Source organism: Homo sapiens, chromosome 13 (genome assembly GCF_000001405.40).
Source record: "Homo sapiens chromosome 13, GRCh38.p14 Primary Assembly".
NCBI classification, from domain to species: domain Eukaryota; kingdom Metazoa; phylum Chordata; class Mammalia; order Primates; family Hominidae; genus Homo; species Homo sapiens.
The window spans coordinates 45970928-45995400 of NC_000013.11; the positions used below are offsets into that span (position 1 = coordinate 45970928).

The 24473-nt window shown below is 36.4% G+C and overlaps 1 protein-coding gene across 28 annotated transcripts in view; it reads right to left on the minus strand.

The window, feature by feature from the left end:
- The window catches only part of ZC3H13 (zinc finger CCCH-type containing 13), a 98282-nt gene that overhangs the window by 16463 nt on the left and 57346 nt on the right, over positions 1-24473 (minus strand). For 17 of the 28 annotated variants that reach the window (NR_167893.1, NM_001382214.1, XM_047430207.1 and 14 more), the window contains 4 exons: positions 17860-18170; positions 14370-14834; positions 8886-9077; positions 4356-4911 (listed from right to left, as the gene is read on the minus strand). Coding sequence is in view for 27 of the 28 variants with exons in the window: in NM_001382214.1 (NP_001369143.1) it covers positions 4356-4911; positions 8886-9077; positions 14370-14834; positions 17860-18170 (1524 nt within the window). In the remaining variant the exon portion in view is untranslated. Of the gene's footprint in view, positions 1-4355; positions 4912-5254; positions 5339-8885; positions 9078-14369; positions 14835-17859; positions 18171-24473 lie in introns of all 28 variants that reach the window. The other 11 variants (XM_005266306.4, NM_001382212.1, XM_005266302.4 and 8 more) reach the window with 1 other exon arrangement.

The following is a 24473-nucleotide window of genomic DNA, read 5'->3' on the forward strand; positions in this document are numbered from 1 at the left end:
CTTAAGTAAGTTCCTTGAAGTCACTGAACCTTAGTTTCTCATCTGAAAATGGTGGGTGGGGCTGAATGGGTGGGAAATGAGAGTCCATTTCATAAAATTGCAGTAAGGAATAAATTAGTTATGTCATAAACCCAGTGCCAAATATGTTGTGGGTACACCATAAAATTAGTTCCTTTCCCCTTCATGGAAATCACTTTCTTGCTGACAAATTAATAAAATAATTCATACGTTCATTATATTTTTTGTTCCTTAGTTGAGCTTTAAATGAGTAGCGTTTTATATCTCTTGGGTACTTAAATTATTCTAGTGTTTTCCCCCATTTTCATTAAAATTTGACTACCTGTTTTTTCACTAACATTGTTTGTTTATAAATACTATGGTCAAAAGTTAAGAAACATATTGTATACATGGACCAATGGAACAGAATAGAAAACCCAGAAATAAAGCCAAATGATCTTCAGCAAAAGCATACAAAACATAACTGGGGAAAGGACACTCTATTTACTAAATGGTGGTGGGAAAATTGGCAAGTCACATGTAAAAGAATGAAACCGGATCCCTCTCAGCTCAAACAAAAATCAGCTCAAGAAGGATCAAAGACTTAAATCTAAAACCTGAAACCATTAAAATTCTAGAAATTAACACTGGGAAAACTCTTTTGGACACTGGCCTAGGCAAAGACTTCATGGCCAAGATTCTAAAAGCAAACGCAACGAAACCAAAAATAAATAAATGGAACCTAATTAAACTAAAAAGCTTCTGCACAGCAAAATAAATAACAAAGACAACCCATAGAATGGGAGAAAATGTTTGCAAACTATGTATCCAACAAAGGACTAGTATCCAGAATCTATAAGAAACTCAAATAAATCAGCAAGAAAAACATAAATAATCCCATCAAAAAGTGGATAAAGGACACGAATAGACATTTCTCAAAAGAAGACATACAAACAGCCAACAAACGTATGAAAAAATGCTCAAAATCACTAATCATCAGGGAAATACAAATTAAAAACCACAATGAGATGCCACCTTACTCCTACAAAAATGGCCATTAAAAAGTAAAAAAAACAGGAGATGTTAGCATAGACATGGTGAAAAGGGAATGCTTATTCACTGCTGGTGGGTATGTAAATAAGTACAACCTCTATGAAAAACAGTATGGAGAGTCCCTAAAGAACTAAAAGGAGATATTTGATCCAGCAATCCCACTACTGGGTATCTACCCAAAGGAAAAGAAGTCATTATATGAAAAAAAAAAACATGCACATATATGTTTATAGCAGCAAAATTCACAACTGTAAAGATATAGAACCAACCTAAGTGCCCATTGGCCAATGGGTGGATAAAGAAAATGTGGTATATATACACCATGAAACCATGGACTACTACTCAGCCATAAAAAGGAAAAAAATAATGTCTTTTGCAGCAACTTGTTCTCACCTGTAAGTGAGAGCTAAGCTATGAGTATGCAAAGGCATACAGAGTGATATAATGGGCTTTGGAGACTCAGAAGGGGGAGGGTGGAAGGGGAGTGAGGGATAAAAACGTACATGTTTGGTACAATGTGGACTACTCAGGTGACAGGTGCACTAAAATCTCTGAATTCATCCAGGTAACCAAAAACCTCTTGTACCCTAAAAGCTATTGAAATAAAAATAAAACAAAAACATACCAGCACATGTATATCATAGACAGCTCCTTTATATAGATGAACAACCATGTGGAGAAGGCCCCAGGTGTAATATGACAACTCACAGGCCCAAGCTTGTGTACTACTTTATCCAAAGCTCCTCTCCCATCAATAACTGGCCTATTTCCCCATTTTTCATATCTAATGACTTGCTATGACAAGAGAATGTGGTGAAAGTGACACTGTGCAAATGTGAAGAGGATTCAGGAGGCCTTGCTGCTTCAGCTTCTGCCCTCTTGTTGTTTCTACCATTACATGCAAAGCAGAGTTTAGACTACTGAAGGCCAGGGGGTCAAGTGGAGGAGAAACAAGATGCCCTAATTGCCAGACACATGAATGAGACAATCCTGGGCCTCCAGGCCCAGCTGCATTGTCAGATGTAATGTTGATACAGGAGTTACTCCAAGTGAGACCAACAGAACAACCACTCTATTGAGCCCAGGCAAAACTGCCAATCCACAGAATCATGAGCAAATAAATGGTTGTTGTTTTAAGCTACTAACTTATGTGGTGATGTGTTATATATCAAGAGATAACTGACAGACTGGAATAAAGTGAAAATTTAAAACATGAGAAAAAGTTATTTCAAGGAAATACCTAAATAAACACAATTAGAGTAAAATAAATACAGCAATTAGGCAAACGTTCTACATAAGAGCAGTTAAAAAAAGTGCTGGATAAATTGAACTACTGAGATGACAATACAGTTAATGAAAGATTAAGATATTAATCTCATGTAATTAGTTTCTGTTATAGAGTTATTCAACTTCTAAATTTCTGGGGTCATTGTCAACTCTTAGATTGTCTAACCATGAAAAACCAGAAAAACTTTTGCTATTATAAGCAGATATCAGAAGCATGAAAAAAATACAGGTTGCGTATCCCTTATCCATGAAATGCTTTAGGTTTTGAATATTTGCATTGTACTTACTGGTTGTGCATCCTTCATGTGAAAATCTGAAATGTTCCAATGAGCATTTCCTCTGAGTGCCATGTCAGTGTTTAAAAAACATTAGATTTTGGAGCATTTCAAATTCTGAATTTTTGGATTTGGGATGCTCAATCTGTACTAATGAAAGCAGAGGACTGAATAAAAGATAAATAACAAAGATTTCAGAATTTTAATCTTAGAAAATAAAGAGGTCAGAAAAGTAGCGGGTGGGGAGGGTGGGAATATGTACCTGTGCCTCCATGTGTTAAAAAAGGTATCTCTGAAGTTTATGTTCAGGTAAGATTTTTCAAAATGTAAGGAGAGGGAAGCAGGAAAGTAATCCAAGGAGTGTACTACAGAAAACCATGGCTGTAGATTAAAGAACAGCCAAGACCTAAGGGAAGAAAGTTCTACTTCTGTGCTGTGTTGTTTGGCCCTAACCATAATCCACAATAGTGAGGATGAAAAAAGCCTAAAGCAGGGACCCTGTATTCGCCCTGTGGCAAATGAGTTGGAGGTAAGAGCAAGAAAATTGAAGATACATAAATTATTTTCTCAGTATGTTTTGGCAAGGTAAACCACAGTGTTTATCCCAGTTGGAGGCAAAAAAGTAGTTAACTCTAGTAAGTTTGGTTTTGTGCCCACAGAACTTCAAAATTGACCAATCTGAGTCTAGAATTCTCATGAACACTGTGATCAGCTTAGTCAATAACTGTCTCCTCACCAACTAATGAGAGCCCCAACTCAGAGAGGACTGCTAAGCTGACAGGGACAACTCTGGGGCCATCTTAGCCATCATATGGAGAAAACCTTTCTGAGACTGAAATTAATACAGAGGGAAACTGGAGAGATGGAAACTGCTAATGCTTTGTTTGAGAATCTGGATATAGCCACATCAGAACAAGCAAAAGCTAATCTCCAACTTCCTAGATATTTGAGCAATAAGTTCTTTTCTGGTTAAAAGGGGGTGAGGTGGGAGAATGCCCTTAGGTATATCAGATGCCAAGAACACATTTTTTGACCCCAAAGAACTACTCCACAGCACAAGAGAAGACACTTCCTTTTCTCTCATCTTCGAACCATGCAGTGATTACAAGGATTCCCTCAGTTCCAAGACATTGTGAATGCTTCCTGTAGCCTGGGGGTAGTGACTCCATAATTACAAGCACATAAAAGTCATGAAGGATCATCAGAATGGCACAGGTGATATCCCTTGGTGACTAGTCTAGGGGATGTGATGGGATACAAGTTCACTGATTCCTGTCTTAATTTAAAAATTATTTTTTCTAGACAACTGAAAAAACTTTTTTTTTTTTTCCTGAGACAAGGTCTCGACCCAGGCTGGAGTGCAATGACATAATCTTGGCTCACTGCAACCTCTGCCTCTCAGGTTCAAACAATCCTCCCATCTCAGCCTCCCAAGTAGCTGGGATACAGGCACGTGCCACCACGTCCGGCTAATTTTTGTATTTTCTGTAGAGATGGAGTTTTGCCATGTTGCCCAGGCTGGTCTCAAACTCCTGGCCTGAAGGAATCTGCCTGCCTCGGCCTCCCAAAGTGCTGGGTAAAAAAACTTTAAACACCGATACATATACTAAATTTGAAAAACAGGAAAATATACAGAGAAAAAAAATTAACAGGAAATTAAGAGTATATTGAAAAGCATTAAATGAAACTTTGAATTCTTTCCTGAAATGTAAAATGTTATTAATAACTGATAATTATTCTTACTTTGATTTTCTTTCATCATGTCCATCTCTTGGATTCCTATCTTCTCGGATCTCTTCTCGCTTTTCTCTGCGGTCATCTCGTCCTTTGTCTTTGTCTTCCCAATCCCTTTGGCGTTCTCGTTCTTTATCCCTTTCTCTCGCTCTTTCTCGTTCCCGTTCTCGCTCTCGCTCTCTCTCCCGTTCTCGCTCTCTCTCCCTCTCTCTCTCTTCTCTTTCTCGTTCCCGTTCTTTTTCCCTGTCTCGTTCCCTCTCTCTTTCCCGCTCTCGATCGTGGTCTCGGTCTCTATCCCTTTCACGATCTCTCTCTTTTTCTCTTTCTCTCTCCCGTTCCCTAGCACGCTCTCTTTCTAGTTCTCTCTCTTTTTCTCTTTCCCGATCCCGTTCACGTTCCCTCTCTCTCTCCCGCTCCCTGTCTCGTTCTCGTTCCCGATCTCTCTCTCTAGCCCTTTCATCTCTCCTATCATCCACTCTGTCTACTCTTCGTTCCTCTCTTCTTTCATCACGCTCAAGCTCGTCATTCCTTCCCTGATGTCGAATTGGTGAGCTTGGTCTTTGATCTACAATGAAAATCAAGTTTTGTCAGTGATTAATTTGACAGATAACCTATTGGTAAGACAGCATGGTAAATCTTAAATTTTATCTGTGATAGGGTCACACTGGCAACAAATTACAAACCAAGTAGCATATTTAATTTTAACTTAATATCCAAGTAACAATCGCCCCTAGACCTTAAATTTTTTAAAGATAATTTTTATTTGCCCTCTAACGACCATGTTTCCTGCTCCCCGTCAACCCCCTTCCCCCCTCCCACTGATCAATCTTTGATCTTTCTCTGCATGCTCCCTACCCTACCTCCAGCCCACTGCTCCAACCCCACTTTCTGCCATCTCTACCCTTCACCTCTGATCTTCTCTGTCCCCCCAGCAGGACCTGAGAACACTGGTGGCAAAGGATAGGGGCAGCAGGAGGTGTAGAACATAGGAGCTGAAGGAAAAAAAAAATTTCCCTCGTAAGTCACACCTCTAATTTCAGGCCAAAATATATACACATCAAAGTGCAGCTATTATGTGAGGAAAATATAGTAGAACAAAACATATGTCAGAATTTGTTGCTGCAATATAACATGAACTGTAATATTAAGGGTACTGATGTCTAGCAATCTTGAAATAAATGTAAAAAGTGTTTCATATTAGTGATATATATTTGTAATTAATAACCAATTACTAATAAATTAGCTTTAATTACATAAATGATTACTCAGATGAAGAGCTGTTTTCTTAAAATGTTAACTGATAACCTCATCACATTTTATATAAATTTTTTCCATGTACACACAAATCACATAAACACAGAGTAAATGAATGCATGCTGCCCAAATACCCAGTTGAGCAGAAAATTAGTCTGGGATAAAAAAACGTTTAAGAGGATGGCATGAACTTTTTCAAAGAGACAGCCATTTTTGAAAGCAACTACTGCGGTCTGATCTAGGATACTGTGATGTTTCCATTTACATACTATATATCTACTGGTTTTTGATAAAGATCATATTATAATCAGGCCAACAGGTTGGTAAGTGGAACATCTAACATCAACTCATTAAGCAGAACAATTTTAGGATGTTTCTAGGAAGGGTTCAATACAGTATTCTGGATTTCCCTTCCTAATCACTGATTGAAAAGACAAGAATTATCTTATCTTTACTATTTTAGAGGTTATAGACCCAGATACAAATGATCATAGCATTTTAAAGCTGAATCAAAATGAAATCCTACACAGTTGCTTCTCCCCCTTTCTATTTAAAAACAGAAATTATGGTCCAGAGTTGTCTTCCCAATGTCACAGAGATGGTAGATGCATTAGAAGTCAGTTTTCTTAAACCCTTTCACTTTTGCTGAAACCAACTTAAAGTGGTTCTTCTGTACCATACTTTGGATTCCTAGAATGCTATCTACCCATCTTTTGTATTGTCTGAATTCCTGGTTTGGAGGAGTCATACCAACATCATAATCATTACAAGATAACCTGAAACAAATTCAATACCATTAACTTATAGCAAATCATACTTTAAATTTCTAATTACAGCAATATCAGCAAATAGACTATTCAGACATGCTTTTATGGGAGATGTATTTTCCCAACCAAAATATCAATGCTACTTTCTTCAAAGGAAAATGGAAAGAATATAAGAACATCACTTTAAAATGTCTAAATTATCTTCCCCTATCTTTCCCCCAAAATGTGTTATTCAAAGATGTGCTTCTACTTACATATTTCCTTATTTTAATAAATGACATACCAATTCATTAAAGCTGACAATCTCTGGGTTGTCTAAGCCTCATCATATCCAAGTACAATCAACTTCACTTCTAAAATATTTCTTTGTTCCTTTTCCTGTCCCCATAGCTATAGTTATTAACTCAGACCTTGATCAGGTCTTCTTAGATGCCTATGTCATCAACAGTCTAACTAATTGGTATCCTTGTTTTCAATCTTTCCCAACACCCTTAATATGTTTTTGATGAAAATTATTTCTTCCAACTGTTTAAAAGTAGTTATCTTGTAGGCAGTGAAAGGCAATTAAAATCAAATTTTTTAGCCTGACTAGGCTAAACTTAGGTCATTTACTACCTGGCCTATAGTCTTTCATCAGTCCTTTTCCCTGGTTTCTTTTCTACCTTGCCAATTATAGCATACTCTGACTCCAATCTCATAATTCCTTACTACTCCAAAGCACATGTTTCTTTCAGTTCTGGTGTCTGTACATGCTGCACCCTCTCCCTGTAAAGTGCTCCTTCTATAGTTTCCTTTTATTCTTCAGGCCCTAATTCAGATGTCACTTCTTTAGGCAGCTTTCTTGGAATTGCTCAGAATTGTGTTTGCTCCTTTGTCTTCTCACAGAACTTTTATATACAGTAGTAGCATTTTATCACACTTTGTTTTTTTGGGTGGGGAGTTCTTCCCTCTCCCCATTAAATTCTACAAGGACAAGAAATTATTGTACCTCAAGTGCCTAGCAAAGTGCCTGACATGGGTACTCAACAAATATTTGTAAAATATTCATTAGCCTCCAAAATATATTTTTATTTCAATCATACATCTCATAATTATTGAAGTAGTTACAGTAAAATTAAAATAGAGAACTGAACTTCTGGTCAGAAGACCTGAGTTTGAATTCCAGCTCTGGAACCTACTTCTCTATAATATTGTAATCTTACTACTCTTAGATCTAATCCCCAAAACTGTGAAAACATGAATTATTTTATCATACCTACACTTACAAGGATATTGTAAAGACTAAGTCAGAATATATGTAAAGCAACTATCAAAGTTCTTGGCACCTAGTAGAAGATCAATACATGTGGTTGAACTAACCATAAGATTGAAACCAAATGTTACTATTGAATTCAGGCATGAGATGAGAAAAATCTGAGCAAGGATATGAAAATAGAAAAAAAGGAAAAAAGAAATTTAAAAAAAAGCATCACCAGTTCTAAAAGTCCCAGGGAAGAAAAAATTTCAGATATCAACACAGAACATAGAAACTCCAGCCCTATCTGTAACTAAGGAAATTCTACACATCTTTTAACCAAAATGCATTAGGCTTACCTTATAAACTCAACCTAATCAATTCTCCTACTTCTGATCCTATCTATGCTCCCAAAAGTAGATGATGCCTTAGAAACTTTATTCTTCTCCCACTACTAACCAATCAAGATATAATATTACCTCTTTGATTCAGCCCATAGTAAAGTATCAATATTCAATTCTCTGGGCCATCAAGTTTCATGCTATATTAATCTCAGCATTATAGTGAACCTTACTTCAGCCAAGGTTAGTAAGACCTTCATAAAATTTTTAATGTTTAAAGGCCCTAATAAGTACAGAAATAAAAGCTTGCCAAAGAAAGTATTTACAACCCTTCTTAAGTGCTTCCTAGTAATCTTGCTTCAAAATTCATTTAAGAGATCACCTGATAGATGAACAGAAAAAGTTTTAGCTTAAGACATATAAGAACGTAAAATTAGCTAAAGCAAATACCATATCTTCTCAGGACAGAATACAAATAAAATATTTCTCTAAACAATCCCCAGCCCTATCATTCAGTTTTTTTTTACTGTTCCTTTCTGGAAGTCCTTATAAAATTCTATTGATCATAGCAAATGAGTGAGTAGACAGGATACTCAGATGTAAAGGTTTAGGTATTTCTTGAATCAGAATTGCCTGGAATAGAACCCAACCATCTACATTCTTTAAAGGTTTGTAAGCTATTTGGGTAAGATGAGAAACACACAGTAGGGCACCCAAGTTTTTGCACTTTGTTGCCAGTAGGTACTGGTCACTAGCTATTGACATAATCCCTCCTAAACCATGTGAACAAAGATTATATGAGTATATATAATAGTTTCAAATGTGTCATCGAGCACAAGCCTTAAAGTATATTTTATATTAAAAAGTAAATTGGTAACTGTTTGAAAAAACAATTCGCCCAATTGATATTGTTCACTATTTAATAAAATTCTGTTTGACAAACCTCTCTCTCTGTTGTCACGACGGTCTCGCTCTCCATGTCTTCTCTCAAAGGAAGAATCCCTTGCTTGATCTCTGTTGTCTCTTTCAGGATATCTATCTCTTTCAGGATAGCTACTTCGAGTTTCCCAGCTGTCATGATAGTTGCTATTACTACTGTGACTATCAATTTGAGAACCTCTTGAGCCTCGACTTCCTAAACAAAGGATAGACACACAAATGTTTACCACATACACTTTATTCAACAAATTTCATCAGTCATAATCTTTCCTCCTAAACATCACTAATATATATATTTAATATTCCAAAGTGTGGTAATCACTCCTGAAAAGAGTATCAAGCAATGAATCAGAACAACCAAGGTGTCCAATGACTGACCTGAGTAGACGAAGTCCCAGTTTTCCCTACCTATATAAAAGTCATATGATAAAATCATAAAATAATAAGATTCATTAAAATTAACCTGTCCCCCCAAAAAAAACAAAAAATAAAAACTATTTCTTCATATTTAATTCACAGATATATAAAAATAATGAAAGAAAAAAATGGGTACGTATTATTGCTTAAATACAGTTTACAGTGAAAACATTCCAACATAGAACACCAAGGTTAATGACAACATTAAACTGTATGTGAAAATTTTCATTAACAGATGTGGGAAACAAATGTTCACAGTGGCTTTGTTGATAACAGCCAAAACCTGCAAAGTACACTAATGTCTTTCAATGGATGAACAGTTAAACAAACTGTGGCACATGCATGCCATGGAATACTATTCGGCAATAAAAATGAATGACCGATATATGCAACAACTTGGATGAACCCCAAGAAAAAATTATGCTGAGTGAAAAAGCCAATCTCAACAGGATACATATAGCATTATTCCATTTACGAGACAATTACAAAACAAGGGACACATAAGAGGTTGCCAGGGGTTGGGGCCAGGGGCCAGGGGAGGGTTGTGGCTATAAAGGGGTAATAAAAAGGAATCTTAGGATGTTATAGATGAGTATCTTGACTATGGAAATGGGCTACACATATGATAAAACTACAAAAAGCTACATACAGACATACACCCAAGTGCATGTATACTGGTGAAATGTGAATAAACTCTATGGATTGTACCAATGTCAATTGTTTGGTTTTGATACTATGCTATAGATAAGATGTTAGATGTTAACACTGGAGAAGTTGGGGTAAGGATAAACAAAGTTTCCCTGTACATTTATTTGCAATCTCCTGTGAATTCCTAATTACTTCAAAACAAAATGAAATTTAAAAAAAAGCTTTTTTTGAGCAGTGAGGGTTAGGAGTAGAGAAACAGTACTGGGGCTGTGATAATTTAGGAATATCTGGCAAAAACAAAGACAGAAACTCTGAGGGCCCTGCCCTCAACCTCATAGAATTACCATGGATAAATCTTTGACAAAGATGAGTTCACTCCAAACTTAAAAGAACATATGATGATTTCCAATTTCATCCATGTCCCTACAAAGGACATGAACTCATCATTTTTTATGGCTGCATAGTATTCCATGGTGTATATGTACCACATTTTCTTAATCCAGTCTATCACTGTTGGACATTTGGGTTGGTTCCAAGTCTTTGCTATTGTGAATAGTGCCGCAATAAACATACGTGTGCATGTGTCTTTATAGCAGCATGATTTATAGTCCTTTGGGTATATACCCAGTAATGGGATGGCTGGGTCAAATGGTATTTCTAGTTCTAGATCCCTGAGGAATTGCCACACTGACTTCCACAAGGGTTGAACTAGTTTACAGTCCCACCAACAGTGTAAAAGTGTTCCTATTTCTCCACATCCTCTCCAGCACCTGTTGTTTCCTGACTTTTTAATGATTGCCATTCTGACTGGTGTGAGATGGCATCTCATTGTGGTTTTGATTTGCATTTCTCTGATGGCCAGTGATGCATCATTCTCAGTAAACTATCGCAAGAACAAAAAATCAAACACTGCATATTCTCACTCATAGGTGGGAATTGAACAATGAGAACACATGGACACAGGAAGGGGAACATCACACTCTGGGGACTGTTGTGGGGTGGAGGGAGGGGGGAGGGATAGCATTAGGAGATATACCTAATGCTAAATGACGAGTTAATGGGTGCAGCACACCAGCATGACACATGTATACATATGTAACTAACCTGCACATTGTGCACATGTACCCTAAAACTTAAAGTATAATAATAATAAAATAATAAATAAATAAATAAACAAATAAATAAAAAAGAAAAAAAAGAACATATGACAAACTAACCCACCCAAAGACAGAATCAAAAGGCACTTCCCCAAGATTTAAAAAACAAACAAAAACACAAAGAATACAAATGTAACAGGCTTTTGAGACCTAAAAGAATTACAGCATGATTCTACGGGTATTTTAATAATCAAAATAGCTGTGAAAAATATTTTAATAATTAAAGACCAGGAAGAAAAAATTTAAAACATTTTTACAGACTACAAAAAGGCTACATATAACATCTAGGAAAGAATGGATTAACCATCAGATTAGATGCAGCTAAGAAAAAATTGGTAAACTAGAAGGTAAGCCTGAGAATATGACCTAGAGGCGAAACAGATAAAGAGATGAAAAATTTGAAAGTTAAGAATGAAAGAAGATACAATGAGGAGATTTAATCTGTCTAAAACTATATGTTGTTTAGAGTTACATTTAAAAAAAAATTAAGCCTGAAAGGATGGAAAAAGATATATCAAACAAATACTAACCAAAAGACAGCTGCCAGCAAAACAATCTTCAAGAAAAATACAGGCTGAATGCCCTTTATCTGAAATGCTTGGGACCACAGGTGTTTTGGATTTTGGAATATTTGCATTATATTGGTTCAGCATCCCTAATCTGAAAAATTGGAAATCCAAAATGCTCCAATAAGCATTTCCTCTGAATGTTATGTCAGCTCTCAAAAAGTCTGGATTTTATCAGTTGCTAGTGGCTATAGAAAAAACAAAAAACAAAAACAAAAAAAATTACATTAAAAAGTTTTAGATTTTGGAGCATTTCAGATTAGGGATGCTCAACCTGAACCTGGCATAAACAGTCATTCTATAATGAATAAAGAAAGAAATAACTCAATTTACGTGTACCTAATAGCAAAGCTTCAAATATTCAAATAAAAAAATGATCAAACTATAAGTAGAAATCAACAAATCTACAAATTCCACAATCACAGTGGAAGACTGAACTCACCTCTCTGTAATGACAGAACAAACAGACTAAGAAAAATTACATGTAGATTTGAAAGTGTAGTTAAAACAAACTTTATCTTAGAGAAACATTTTGCATTCAACCATTACAAATGCAACTCCTTTGAAAGCATATGCAGAACACTTATAAAAACAGACCACTGAGCCACAAAATAAGAGTTAACAAATACATATCCCAAAGAACTGACTTTCAACAGAGTATTTTCTGACAACTAAAATGGGGGGAGAGAACTTAATCCTTAACACAATAAAAAGTATCTGCAAAAAATCTACAAACACCATACTTAGTAATAAAATGCCAGCAACAATCCTTTAAAATCTGAAACAAAGCAAAGCCCCTTCTACTTATATATATATATTTTTTTTTTTTTTTTTTTTTTTTTTTTTTTGAGACGGAGTCTCACTCTTTCGCCCAAGCTGGACTGCAGTGGCGCTATCCCGGCTCACTGCAAGCTCCGCCTCTTGGGTTCATGCCATTCTCCTGCCTCAGCCTCCCGAGTAGCTGGGATTACAGGCGCCCACCACCACGCCCGGCTAATTTTTTTGTATTTTTAGTAGAGACGGGGTTTCACTGTGTTAGCCAGGATGGTCTCGATCTCCTGACCTCGTGATCCGCCCGCCTCGGCCTCCCAAAGTGCTGGGATTACAGGCGTGAGCCACCGCGCCCGGCCCCTTCTACTTATATTTAACACTGTATTGATAAAGATGCTCAGAAGGTTACTGACAGAAAATTAATAATCAGAAAAGAAGAGCCAAATCAGTGTGTTCCTAGGAACATCTGTTAAGAGAATCTAATTAGATCAAGAAAATACAGCAACATCATTTAAATGTAAGATTAATACACAAATGCCAATTACCATTTCCAGGTACCAACAAAGCATTAGAAAATGCAATGTTTTAAAAGACACCATTTAGTGACATATGTACACAGTTATTCACTAAAGCACTGTTTGAAAGAGATAAAGATTGGAAAACCAAAATACCCAGTAATGCAGCACTTGCTGACTTTATGGTATATTCTACAATAGAGAACAAGTACCAAAAGAAGAAAATAGCTGTTTACCACAAAGAAAGACATGAAAGATATTTTTACTAGTTGAAAATAGTAGGATATAAAACAGTACATAGTTTTTTCCAGTGTTTTTAAAAATTAGTTTTGTAAAACCAGAGGGGAAAACAAATGGATATATATTTGCTTGTGTAAAATGTTTTTTGGGAAGAATACATACAAAGCTGGCAAAAGAGTGGTCAGGGTACAACGGAGGCTTTTCACTATATATCCTTTTATACATTCAAAATTTTGAACCATGTAAATACATAATTTACATCTTACAAAATGTAAAAGTACTATTTAAAATGGCAATAAAAAATAGAGGATACACAGGAAAAAATGTAAAAAATATTAATGAGAAATATTATAAATTGATTAAGTTGATGCATTGAAATAAAAATCCAACAGTTTTTTTATGAAATTAAAAACTGTTTTCTAAAATTGATATGAAAAAGTAAAAGGTCAAGAAAAGACAAGGCAGCTCAAAGAAGCTAAAGGACCCTCAACACAAATATGAAGCTGTAATACTGACCAAGGATTGACTAACAGACCAATGGAAAGAATAAAAGTGATCAAAGTTCTGCAGCAGTGTTTGGGGAGAGGGGAGAAAAGCAGGTGGAGGTAAAGAGAGGTCATGATAATTAAGTCTCAGCAGTTTGGAAATAGTTACAATATATTTAAGTCATTTGGGTGATGGCAAATACTTTTTATGAAAAGAAAAATGGCTCAAGATAATGACGTGTGGCAGTTTGACAGGGTCTGAAGCAAGTACAAATACTGAAGAATACACAAATCAGTCATTTCTGATGCCAACAATTCTGAAAACCCACCACTTTAATCCTACTTTAATTTAATGAACATTTTATCATATTTATACCTATTTAACAGAAAGCAACTTCCTCGTGATTCTACTTTTTTGTCTGATAGTGATTTTCTTAGTGTTCCACATTAATCAAGATGATAGGCATGACTGGATATACTTAGGGGGGGTCTAGCTCAAGCTCCATTTATCTTTTGCTATTTTAACTAGTAATTCCAATTAGGAATTTATAAGGAAGACTACAAGTTCAATTAATTAAAAATTACTGTGACAAAATGATAACAAATGTAAGAAACAACATATTAGAAATCTTAGGAGATTTTATACTTTCTATATAAGATATAGTTCATAGACAAGTCAAAAACCTTACCCTTTTCAGGTAACTCAGGAACCCTCCCCCTACTTCGGCCCATTCGGTCATTTCTAATTTCACTTCGAGACTCATTTCTGGACTCATTCCTTATTTCCGTACGAGAACTTTCTTCTCTCAAATGGTTTCGGCCATAACTCCGGGATTCTTCTGGATATGTATCCTCCTTTCGATGAGTATCTCGACCTTCACGGTCCCTGTAGTCATGGGCATCACGAGTGGACCGAGAATCTCTGGGATCACGGCTCTCTTTGGTATCTCTGCTATAATCTCTCATCTCCCTTGAGTCCCGCATGTCTCTGGAGTCTCTTAGTTCCCTTCGGTCCCTAGTATCTCTGGCATCTCTCCGATCCCGACCATCTCGAGGTTCTCTGTCATCTCTGTGGTCTCTAGAAGAGCTCTGATCCTGTTCATATTCTCGTTCTTCTCTTGAGTCCTTTTCTCTGTCTCGTTTGCCCCTAGTATCTGTAATGCAATTTTGGAAATTGACTGTAATTGCTTTTACAAAGTTTCAGGAAACTAGAAAACATATTTAATACAGAACTTTAAAAATTTTATTATAATGACAATTCGTGTTCTTTGCAAAAAATAAAGAAGCTAAAATTCCAAAGATAATTAACACCTGATAAGAATGTTCTTCATTAGATAAACTCCGAACATGAATTTCCTCTGCCCCAACTTACCTATACTGCCCCAACTCACCCCAACTTACCAGATCCTAAACAACTGAAACAAATAAGTTCATCTCCTATCATTGACGGCTTACTTTTCAGAAACCACTTTTAGATACAAAGACACTTCAGTTACTTTAATCTTTTCTATCAACTATTAAGTTAGGCTAAACTAGACCATCTGTGACCTCCTCAAATGTACTTAAGCACTTTAGGGTAGCCTATGGTTAGTAAGCTAGCTGGTTGAGTGATACTATTATTCACTCTCTTTTCCTGCACTGTTTAATGGTATAACATTCATGTGTGCAAGTCTTTAAAGCTTTCTCTACTTAGAGCATTTTCTAGCTGGGTGACGTGGCATGTACCTACAGTGCCAGCTACTTGGGAGGCTGAGGTAGGAAGATCACTTGAATCCAGGAGTTTGAGTTCAGCCTGGGCAACATAGGAAGATGAGACTTTTTCTCTTTAAAATGAACGAACAAAAAAGCATTTCATACAAAAAAATAAATACTTGCACTTTTTAAAAGCTGAACCACAGTGATTATCTAAACAAACCATGTCATTTTATAATAAAGAAATAGAGGCCCAAAACTTAGATGGCTTAGTCAACCCCATAATTTGCAAAGATTAGAAACCACTCTTTACATATATTTAGAAAGGGCACAAATTGATTATAACAAATCTGATATGAAGCCAAAGAATTAACAAGAGAACCTCAAAGGATAAATTCTGCCCTTTTTATCAGATTCTTCTGCAAGGTGCTCTTATACTCTGGAATTGCCCTAGTCTAAGGCTATTTTGGCAACTCTAGCAGCCTCATGCCCAAAACATTATAAGTTTACCTCCTTTTCTCTTTGTCCCTAATGGCTAGGCCCACAGACTTTCTCATGGACCCAAACATCTTGTAACCACAAGGCCCTTAGACCCTCATCAATAACCTATCTCCCCCACCAATTCCTTTGTCCATATATCCATATCCACAAACCCTGTTTAAGGACAAAGGCAAGAGGCAAAGATCTGACATATCTCCATCCCTTTCTGTGAATATCTTTCACTTCTATTCCTCCCCCAATACCAACTGTGCCTGAAAATGTGTTCACTTAGTGCCAGATCTTTTTCTCATGATGCGCCCATCTGTCTTTACAAATACGTCTAGGTACTGTATTTTCTTCTTTACCTACCTCCCTATCCTTCCACCGAAATTATCCTTATTTCAGAAAATGACATCTAAATAGAGAGGAACAATTGCCTGCTAAATCTCCCGTATGGAAAGTTAAACAGACATCTTCCTTACAAAGAACTTAAAACGCCTATGATTTAAGTCCCTTCTTAACACAAGCATTCCTATGAGACTCAATTGCTTATTATTTTCCCTTCCTTAGTATGTTTAATAATGTTAATGGAGTTTTCATTCAATAAGTAGTCATTAAATATGTACTATATTCCTGGTCAACTCTAGTTGTTAAATATCTTATTAAAATTTATAGAAAGGTACAATATAAGAGAATTTTCCCATCTTACCAATGTTTCATAAACACTGCTGTGCTGACCTAGTTCCAAAATCATACATACAAAAAAAAAATTCTATCAAATAGGTGCTTTCTCCAGTCCCTGCCTATTTTCTTGAATATCATTCTCATCCGCCATTTTCTTGAACAAAAGAACCCGACTGATTATTGCTTGCATTGTTGATAGGAAGAGAATACTAAATTCAACATGTTTCATAGGAGACTGCCGTACTCCACTCACCAAGAGGCGCTTAAAGTGCATATTAAATATAAATGTTGTTCCAAGTAAGCATTTCCTGAGTACTTACTATGTTAAAAAATGAACACAGGAGAAGTTAGAAAACAGACTTATTAAGTTGAATCTACGAAGACCAGAAGCTTAGACAAGAAGTAAAGAAAGAGATGAGAGCTATTAAACAGGCTTTATTGCCAGGTAACAATAAAATCTCAGCTTGAATAGGGAGTAGCAAATCCAAAGTTAACTTAATTCTCAGGGATCTAGAAAGGAAAACTGCTTCGCTTACTTCTTTATTATGACCTAGAAATTTGATGACTCGGTTTGCAATGACCTTCTAACAATTCCCCCCAGCCCTCACTCCTTTATCAAAACACTTCTGATGCTTTCAAACTACGCTCTCTGATTTGTTGCTTTTCTTCCCTTCACCTCCTTGTTTTCAAAAGACATTAACTCAGTGATTGAAAAGGATGCTCTAAGAATCAGATGGCCAAAAATTTCTAGAACTTGAGAGTACTTACTCAGCAGAACATCTTTTATTATTATTATTATTGTTATTATTTTTGAGATGGAGTCTTGCACTGTTGCCGAGGCTGGAGTATGGTGGTGCGATCTTGGCTCACTGCAAGCTCCGCCTCCCGGGTTCAAGCAATTCTCCTGCCTCAGCTTCCCGAGTAGCTAGGACTACAGGTGCATGCCACCATGCCCAGCTAATTTTTTGTATTTTTAGTAGAGACGGGGTCTCACCATATTAGCCAGGATGGTCTCAATCTCCTGACCGCATGATCCTCCCACCTCGGCCTCCCAAAGTGTTGAGATTACAGGCGTGAGCCACTGCACCCGGCCAGAACATCTTAACTAAAGAAAGCACCAGCTTAGTATACCTGTAAATACCAACTTGTATACACCTAACAGCTAACATTCCCATGTTGTTAAGCATCTCCTATTGCCCTCAAAAATTCTAGTCTGTGTGTTACAGAAGACTTAACATAGCAAAGTCTTTCTCCATCTCTTAGTACAACAATAAAGCTGGATGTTCAATTTTTCAATTAAAAAAATCAAAGTACAGTACACACCTTCCCTCCTTTCATGGCGTCGATCATGAGACTGTGAAGTTCGTTCATGATCATGTCTCCCTTTCTCTCGCATTGGAGAGCGATGTCTTGGAGGACTCTGCTTTCTCTGGGGAGACGACAAAGAATGTGAAGGATAAGGAGAGGCAGAGCGTCGTAAAGGTGGAGTTAGTGTCCGCTGATAAGATGGTGAAGGAGTTCTTTTTCGACGAGGAGAAGGAGAATGTCTTTGAATAGATGATCCTGATTGTGAGGAAGATGAGTGATGTCTAGAAGATATAGGAGAATGATGCTGTCCTGCTGGGGAAGTAGACCTACAAGGGAAAACAATAACAATAAAACATGTATTCAAGAGCTTCATTTCTAGCCAAAGGAAAATCTTTAAAAACAAAAAAGTGAATATGAAAGTATAGACAATAACTTCAGAATAAATTTTAATTCACAATGCTGTAAAATTCTAAGTAAGTCACTTTTTTAACGACGTGACTTAACTTTAAGTCAACTAGAAGCAACAGTTCAAGAAGAGATATGCAGTGCTTTTCTCCCAGGCTTTGGTGCCAAAGTACACTGCATTTTCCAACATACACCATCTACCCTAACTTAAAGTATGGAATTCACTCTGATAATCTCTGAAAGTGTGAACAAATACTTAGAGGGAGAAAACCCACAAACTATGGCAAAACATACTACTGAGATCTAGAGAGAAAGTGGCTTTGAGAATGCCTGTAAATTCATGGCTATGGTAAAAGGGGAGGTAGCATCAGCTAAGGCAAACAAAAAGTCCACGCTGCATGGGTTGACATTTAGGACTATGAAAGAATCCTAGAATTAAGGAAAGGATAACAAAATATATACTGTCTTTAACTTAAGTAATCTGCCTTCACTGTGGGCAGCACAAACTGAGAGTTAGTTCATAGTTCTTGGTTCAACTAAGGCCTCCCCTATTCCCTTCAAATCATTTTCTTTCACTGCTACCAGAGAAACAACACATAACCTCATGAAACAGATGTGATCATTAAGCACATCTGAATCACTCCTAGAGTCTATTATACCTGGGTCCTGTCCAAACTTTTGTGCAATAACTAAGAAGCAGCAGGAAATAATGTTTAAAATATAATATTCTAGACATGCCCAGATAAATATTCCTCAAAGCAATCATCTCAAGAGCTAAAAGCTTATTCAAAAAAATTCTGATTTTTTAAGTCAAAGTATTTCTGTAATTATCTTCAGTGTCTATGATAAACATTTTTTTAGTATGTGCAGTGATGGCACAAATCATTACTAATTCTAAACCAGTTTCTCAACCCTAGCACTACTGACATTTTGTACTGGGTAACTCTTCGGAGGAGGGGGAGTGTCTTGTACATTATATATAGGATGTTTAACAGCATCCCTGGCCTCAACTCACTAGATGCCAGTAGCATCCCTCCCATTCCAAGTTATGACAATAAAAAATTACTCCAGACATTGCCAAATGTCCTCTACCAGGCAAAATCACCCCCAGTTGAGAACCACTACCTTAAACTATGTTGTTTATAAATGATGCCTTAGTAAACCTTTTATCAAAAAAAGGTTTCAATCTATAAACTATGTTACTAAGTCAGGAATGTGATCTAATATATTAGAAAGAATATGCAGAAAAGAATTTAGGCAAATAAAAATACCTCTGGGTGACAGTAAATGAAAAGTCAGCTAACTAGAACACTACACTCACTTAAACATCAAGTTTTCTGTGACTTGATTAAAGCTTTATACTTTTAATAAAATAGTGATTCCTTTCTAACATAAAAAGATAAGCCATAAGCTACTAAAATTTAATTGACTCTAAATAGAAATTTATTAACTTAACAGCTAATATGAGTGGAAATACTCAACGGGTCTTAGCCAAATTTGGAAAACCATTTATGATCAATGCCCATCTAAATGCATCCTACTGAACAGAAAAATCACTGCAAGAGTAAAAATTAGAGTCAGTATTGTCTGGTTGTTTTCAATTTCAATGTCATTAGGTTCTAGTAAATTTTTGGGGGGATGGGCGGGGGGACAAGGTCTCGCTGTCACCCAGGCTACAGTACAGTGGCATGATCATGGCTCACTGCACTCTTGGCTTTCTGGGCTCAAGTGATCCTCCCACCTCAGCCTCCCGAGCAGCTGGGACTACAGGCACATGCCACCACACTCAGCTACTTTGTTTTATTTTTTATAGAGACGAGGTCTCACTATACCCCGGTTGGTCTTGAACTCCTGGGCTCAAGCCATCATCCTGCCTCAGCCTCCTAAAGTGCTGGGATTATAGGCATGAGCCACCATGCTTGATGGTTCTCGTCAATTTAAAAAACTAAAGAATGAATGGTTCTCCATTGAACTGATATTTTGGTTACTTCTGTGTTTATTTCTGGGGTATACTTAAAATTGTTTCAAGAATGTCTACAATAGCCTTGAGTTATTAGTTCATAAAACTTAAAAAAACAAAACAGTTCACATATACTACCTTTAAAAAACACATTAGGGTCCAATCATGTTTCTATTCAACTTGATGGCTATAGCATGGAAGAAAAAACTTCAAACTTAGGATAATCGGGCTATCACATTAAGGTCAGAACACTAATGGGTTGTCAAATAATGGCTTCAACTTTTTAATCATATTTTCTTTTTACTCAACCTTCACCTACGTCCATTCTGCATATATAAAAGGTATGATTCTAAGCAACGAAACTGTCTTGAAATCTGGTGAAAATTAATAGTACTTTGGCTATAGACTATTACAGAGCTATAGTAAAGTACATTTCCACTTAGAATAGAAGTAACTTCAGATTAATTCGTCTTATGCTTTATAATTGGCTGGTTTCTTATCTGAGGGAAAAAATTAGTGAAACTTGAAATTCAAATAAAGAAAAAAGGAAAGTTTATTTAATGAAGAGAAGCTTAATACCTTAAAACAAAAACCTGTATAATGTAATCAAGAGCACTGTGATTTATTGTATCCAGGGAAAGTTGATCTTTGGTCTGACTAGATTCCAATCAAACACTTTTTAGTGCTGCTATAATTAGGATATGATGTGGTGTGGAATGAGAATATTCAGGGTATATTTCATTTTGGGAAAAAATGTGAAAAGTTAAGAAATTTAAAAATAAAAACTCTCATTCAAGATGCAAGTAATTTCACCTGCAAACTAATAGGTTTACCCCAGACTTACTTAAAAATAGTAACACCAATGTTTCTTTCAAAAAATGGTTTCTATTTCTCAAATATGAAAATATGCTTACATAATGCACTAACATTCATATTTTAACCTTTAAAATCATGTAAAATGTATACATTTTTAAAACACAAAGGTAATATGGGCACTACCAAAATCATCTCTGTTTTCAGTGATAAAATACAACATAATACACATTTTGCAAGTAGAAATATTTAGGTTCTATTATTTTACATATGAAGTTTATATTTATTAAATCATTTTAATTCACTCAACAAATATTAAGTGAGCACATACTAAGCTCCAAGCATTATTTTTGGCAATGAGGATACAGAAATGAAGAGAACAAAACCACTAACATAATAATAGTAATGACATTAATAATAGCAAGTAACGTATATTGCTACTATGTGTGTGACACTATTTTAAGTGCTTGTCATATATTAACTCACTTAATCTTTATGACAATCTAATAAGGTAATTGAATGTCATGGTTAATTTTATGTGTCAACTTAATCCATTTATGCCTAGTGTTCCATTATTGGAATACTAAACTTGTGGGAGTTATTTATATCCTACTGCTCAAGGTCTCATGGCCAAGGTCTGATTTTTCACAAAAAAATTTGCAACTTCTGACATAACTGGGTTAACTGGGTCATGGAATGGCCCAGATATCTGGCTAAACATTATTTCTGGGCACGTCTGTGAGGGCTTCCTAAAAGAGTCTGGCATTTGAAATCAGTAAACTGAGTAAAGCAGATGGCCCTGACCAATGTGTGTATCATCTGATCTACTGAGGGCCTGAACAGAACAAAAAGGTGAAGGAAGGTTACATTCTCTGCCTGACTGCTTGAGCTGAACGTTGATCTACCCTTGCTTCTCAGGTCTTACACTCTGAATGGAGGCAGCTTTCTACCTCTCACGCTTCTGAATTACACCACCAGCTTTCCTGGGTCTCCAGCTTGCAGCCAGATCACAGGGCTTTATAGCCTCCATAATTGCATGAGCCAATTCCTTAAGTAAATCTCATTCTAGACATATCTTCTACTGGTTCAGTTTCTCTGGAAAACCTTGACTAATACATCGAGGGAGGACTGGAAACCAGTCTATCTAGTAACAGAGTCTATGGTCCAGGGAGCAAACCAACAATGACAAAGCAAGACAATTTCTGCTAATTAATGTAACAACATTTATACAAAAGGACAACAAAATAGAACTGTTAGGTCCAAAAAAACACAAAAAGTATGTGCTTTTTACTTTTGGAGTTTAAAAACAATCTACATGTGTGTGGCAGGAATACCGGCTATTTGTCTTTTTCTAGCCCTTGATCACAAAACACAAAAAACTATGTCAGGGTGACTACTCTAGGTTGCTTGGTAAGGAAAGGACCCTTACTAGAGGATATATTTGAGCCAAGTGCTGAAGATCTGAGGCAAGAGCTTTAGGATCAATAAGCACAAAGGAGGTAGGAGGGATCTTGATGTATAAGAATAGAAAGAAGCCAAGTGGAACCACAATTTATGAGAGAACAGAGTCTCATGAGGGAATCAGAAAGCAGGCAGAGCCAGATGTGGGCCACAGGTCATGGTAAAAGTCTGGATTTTATTCTAAGCATGAGAGAAAGCACTGGAGAGTGATAGGTGGTTAAGTGCCATTTAAAATATAACAAGATCTTACTCGTCTAAATAAACCTGTAAGATGAAAAAAGAAAATGCTTCTGTGTGATTTGTTTTACACCTAGTAGCTTGCTATTCTTTTGCAGCAGGCTAAATACTCCCTGGAAAGGGAATCATTTCTAACTGAACAATCTTACAGAACTAGGAGGACACTTGTCTGTGGGAATCTTTTAAAAGATCACTCCTCCATAAATACATAATGATACTTGTAAAACAGATTTGATTAAAAAAAACCCTCATGTAAGTTCTAGATAATACAAGAAAATATTCACTAAGGTACTAATAATTTTGTTCAGATTTCATTTTTGCATGCACAAACGCAGTATGGTTGACTCTTGAACAACACAGGGTCCACACTTACGTGTGAGTTTACTTCTGCCTCTGCCAGCCTTGAGACAGCAAGAACAACGCCTCCTTTTTGCACTTCTAGCCTCCTCAAAGGGACAACCTTTATAATGATCCATTTCCACTTAATGAATAGTAAATATATTTTCTCTTCCTTATGATTTTCTTAACATTTTCTTTTCTCTAGCTTACTTTGTAATAACAATACAGTATATAATACAAATAACATACAAAATATGTGTTAATCAAACGTTTATGTTATCAGTAAAGTTTCCAGTTAACAGTGGGCTATTAGTAGCTAAGTTTGGGGGGAGTCAAAAGTTATACAAGGATTTTCAACTGCACAGGGGTTGACCCCCTACCCCTTCATTGTTCAAGGGTCAACTGTAATTTCCAAAGTTTCAATCTCAGAATAAAAAATGTTAAAGACAACCCTTAAATTAACCCATCCTTTAATGCTATTCAAATCCAGAATAATTTAACAACTAATACTTTTATGAAACGTGGTTCAAGGTAAGAGCCTTACATAGACTTATTCAACAACATGGCTTGAACTAAAAGCTGTACCTACCAATGTGATCAAGGGTTAGAAAAAGACAAATAGCTGGTATTCCTGCCGCACGCATGTGGATTGTTTTTAAGCTCCCAGAGTAAGAGAATCGATATTTAAAATACAATAAAACCCAGAAACAACACACATTGGCATAAGACAACTGGCTCCTTCCGCTTGGTGGAACCAGTTAAAGTTACTACTTTCTGCTGGGGATAGGGTAGGGTGGCAAGAATATGAAGCAGAGGACCAAACCAGGCCAAGAAACAGTAGATAATCCAGTTTTGGAAGAGGAAGGTGCAGAAGTCCCCAATCTGCATTTCCCAGACATAATACCTTCCCAGATCAGGCCACTGGGTGCCAAGCAAGGGAGATTTTTGAAATCCCTGCCAATGGCCTGGAAGTCCCATCTAGTCACAGGAGCCAAAATTCTTCTTACGGTCATTTAACTATCAGTGAAAAAAAAAAAAAAAAACGCCACCACCTGGCACCAGACCACAGCCAGATTAGGATGGATTTTGACAGTGCAGGTAGAGGCTATTTTATTAATGTCATTATAACACAGCCCTACATTCTTTACAGAATTGACTCTATATTATGCATTTCTGACTGAATCAATTATTGGAATAGGATTAAACTTCCGAACCACCAGCTGCTACTAAAAACCTCTCTGAAAATACTTGAGAACAGCCTTCCTCAAGTCTCCAATTTTGCAAAGCAAGTTGGACAAAAGCTAAAAGTACAATTATTTAGGGTCATAAACTCTTTCTAGATATGAGTTTCTCTCCTGAATTCAACAAATTTTCCCAACATCACACCTACTAAAGACAGTCCAAGCCTTGGTTA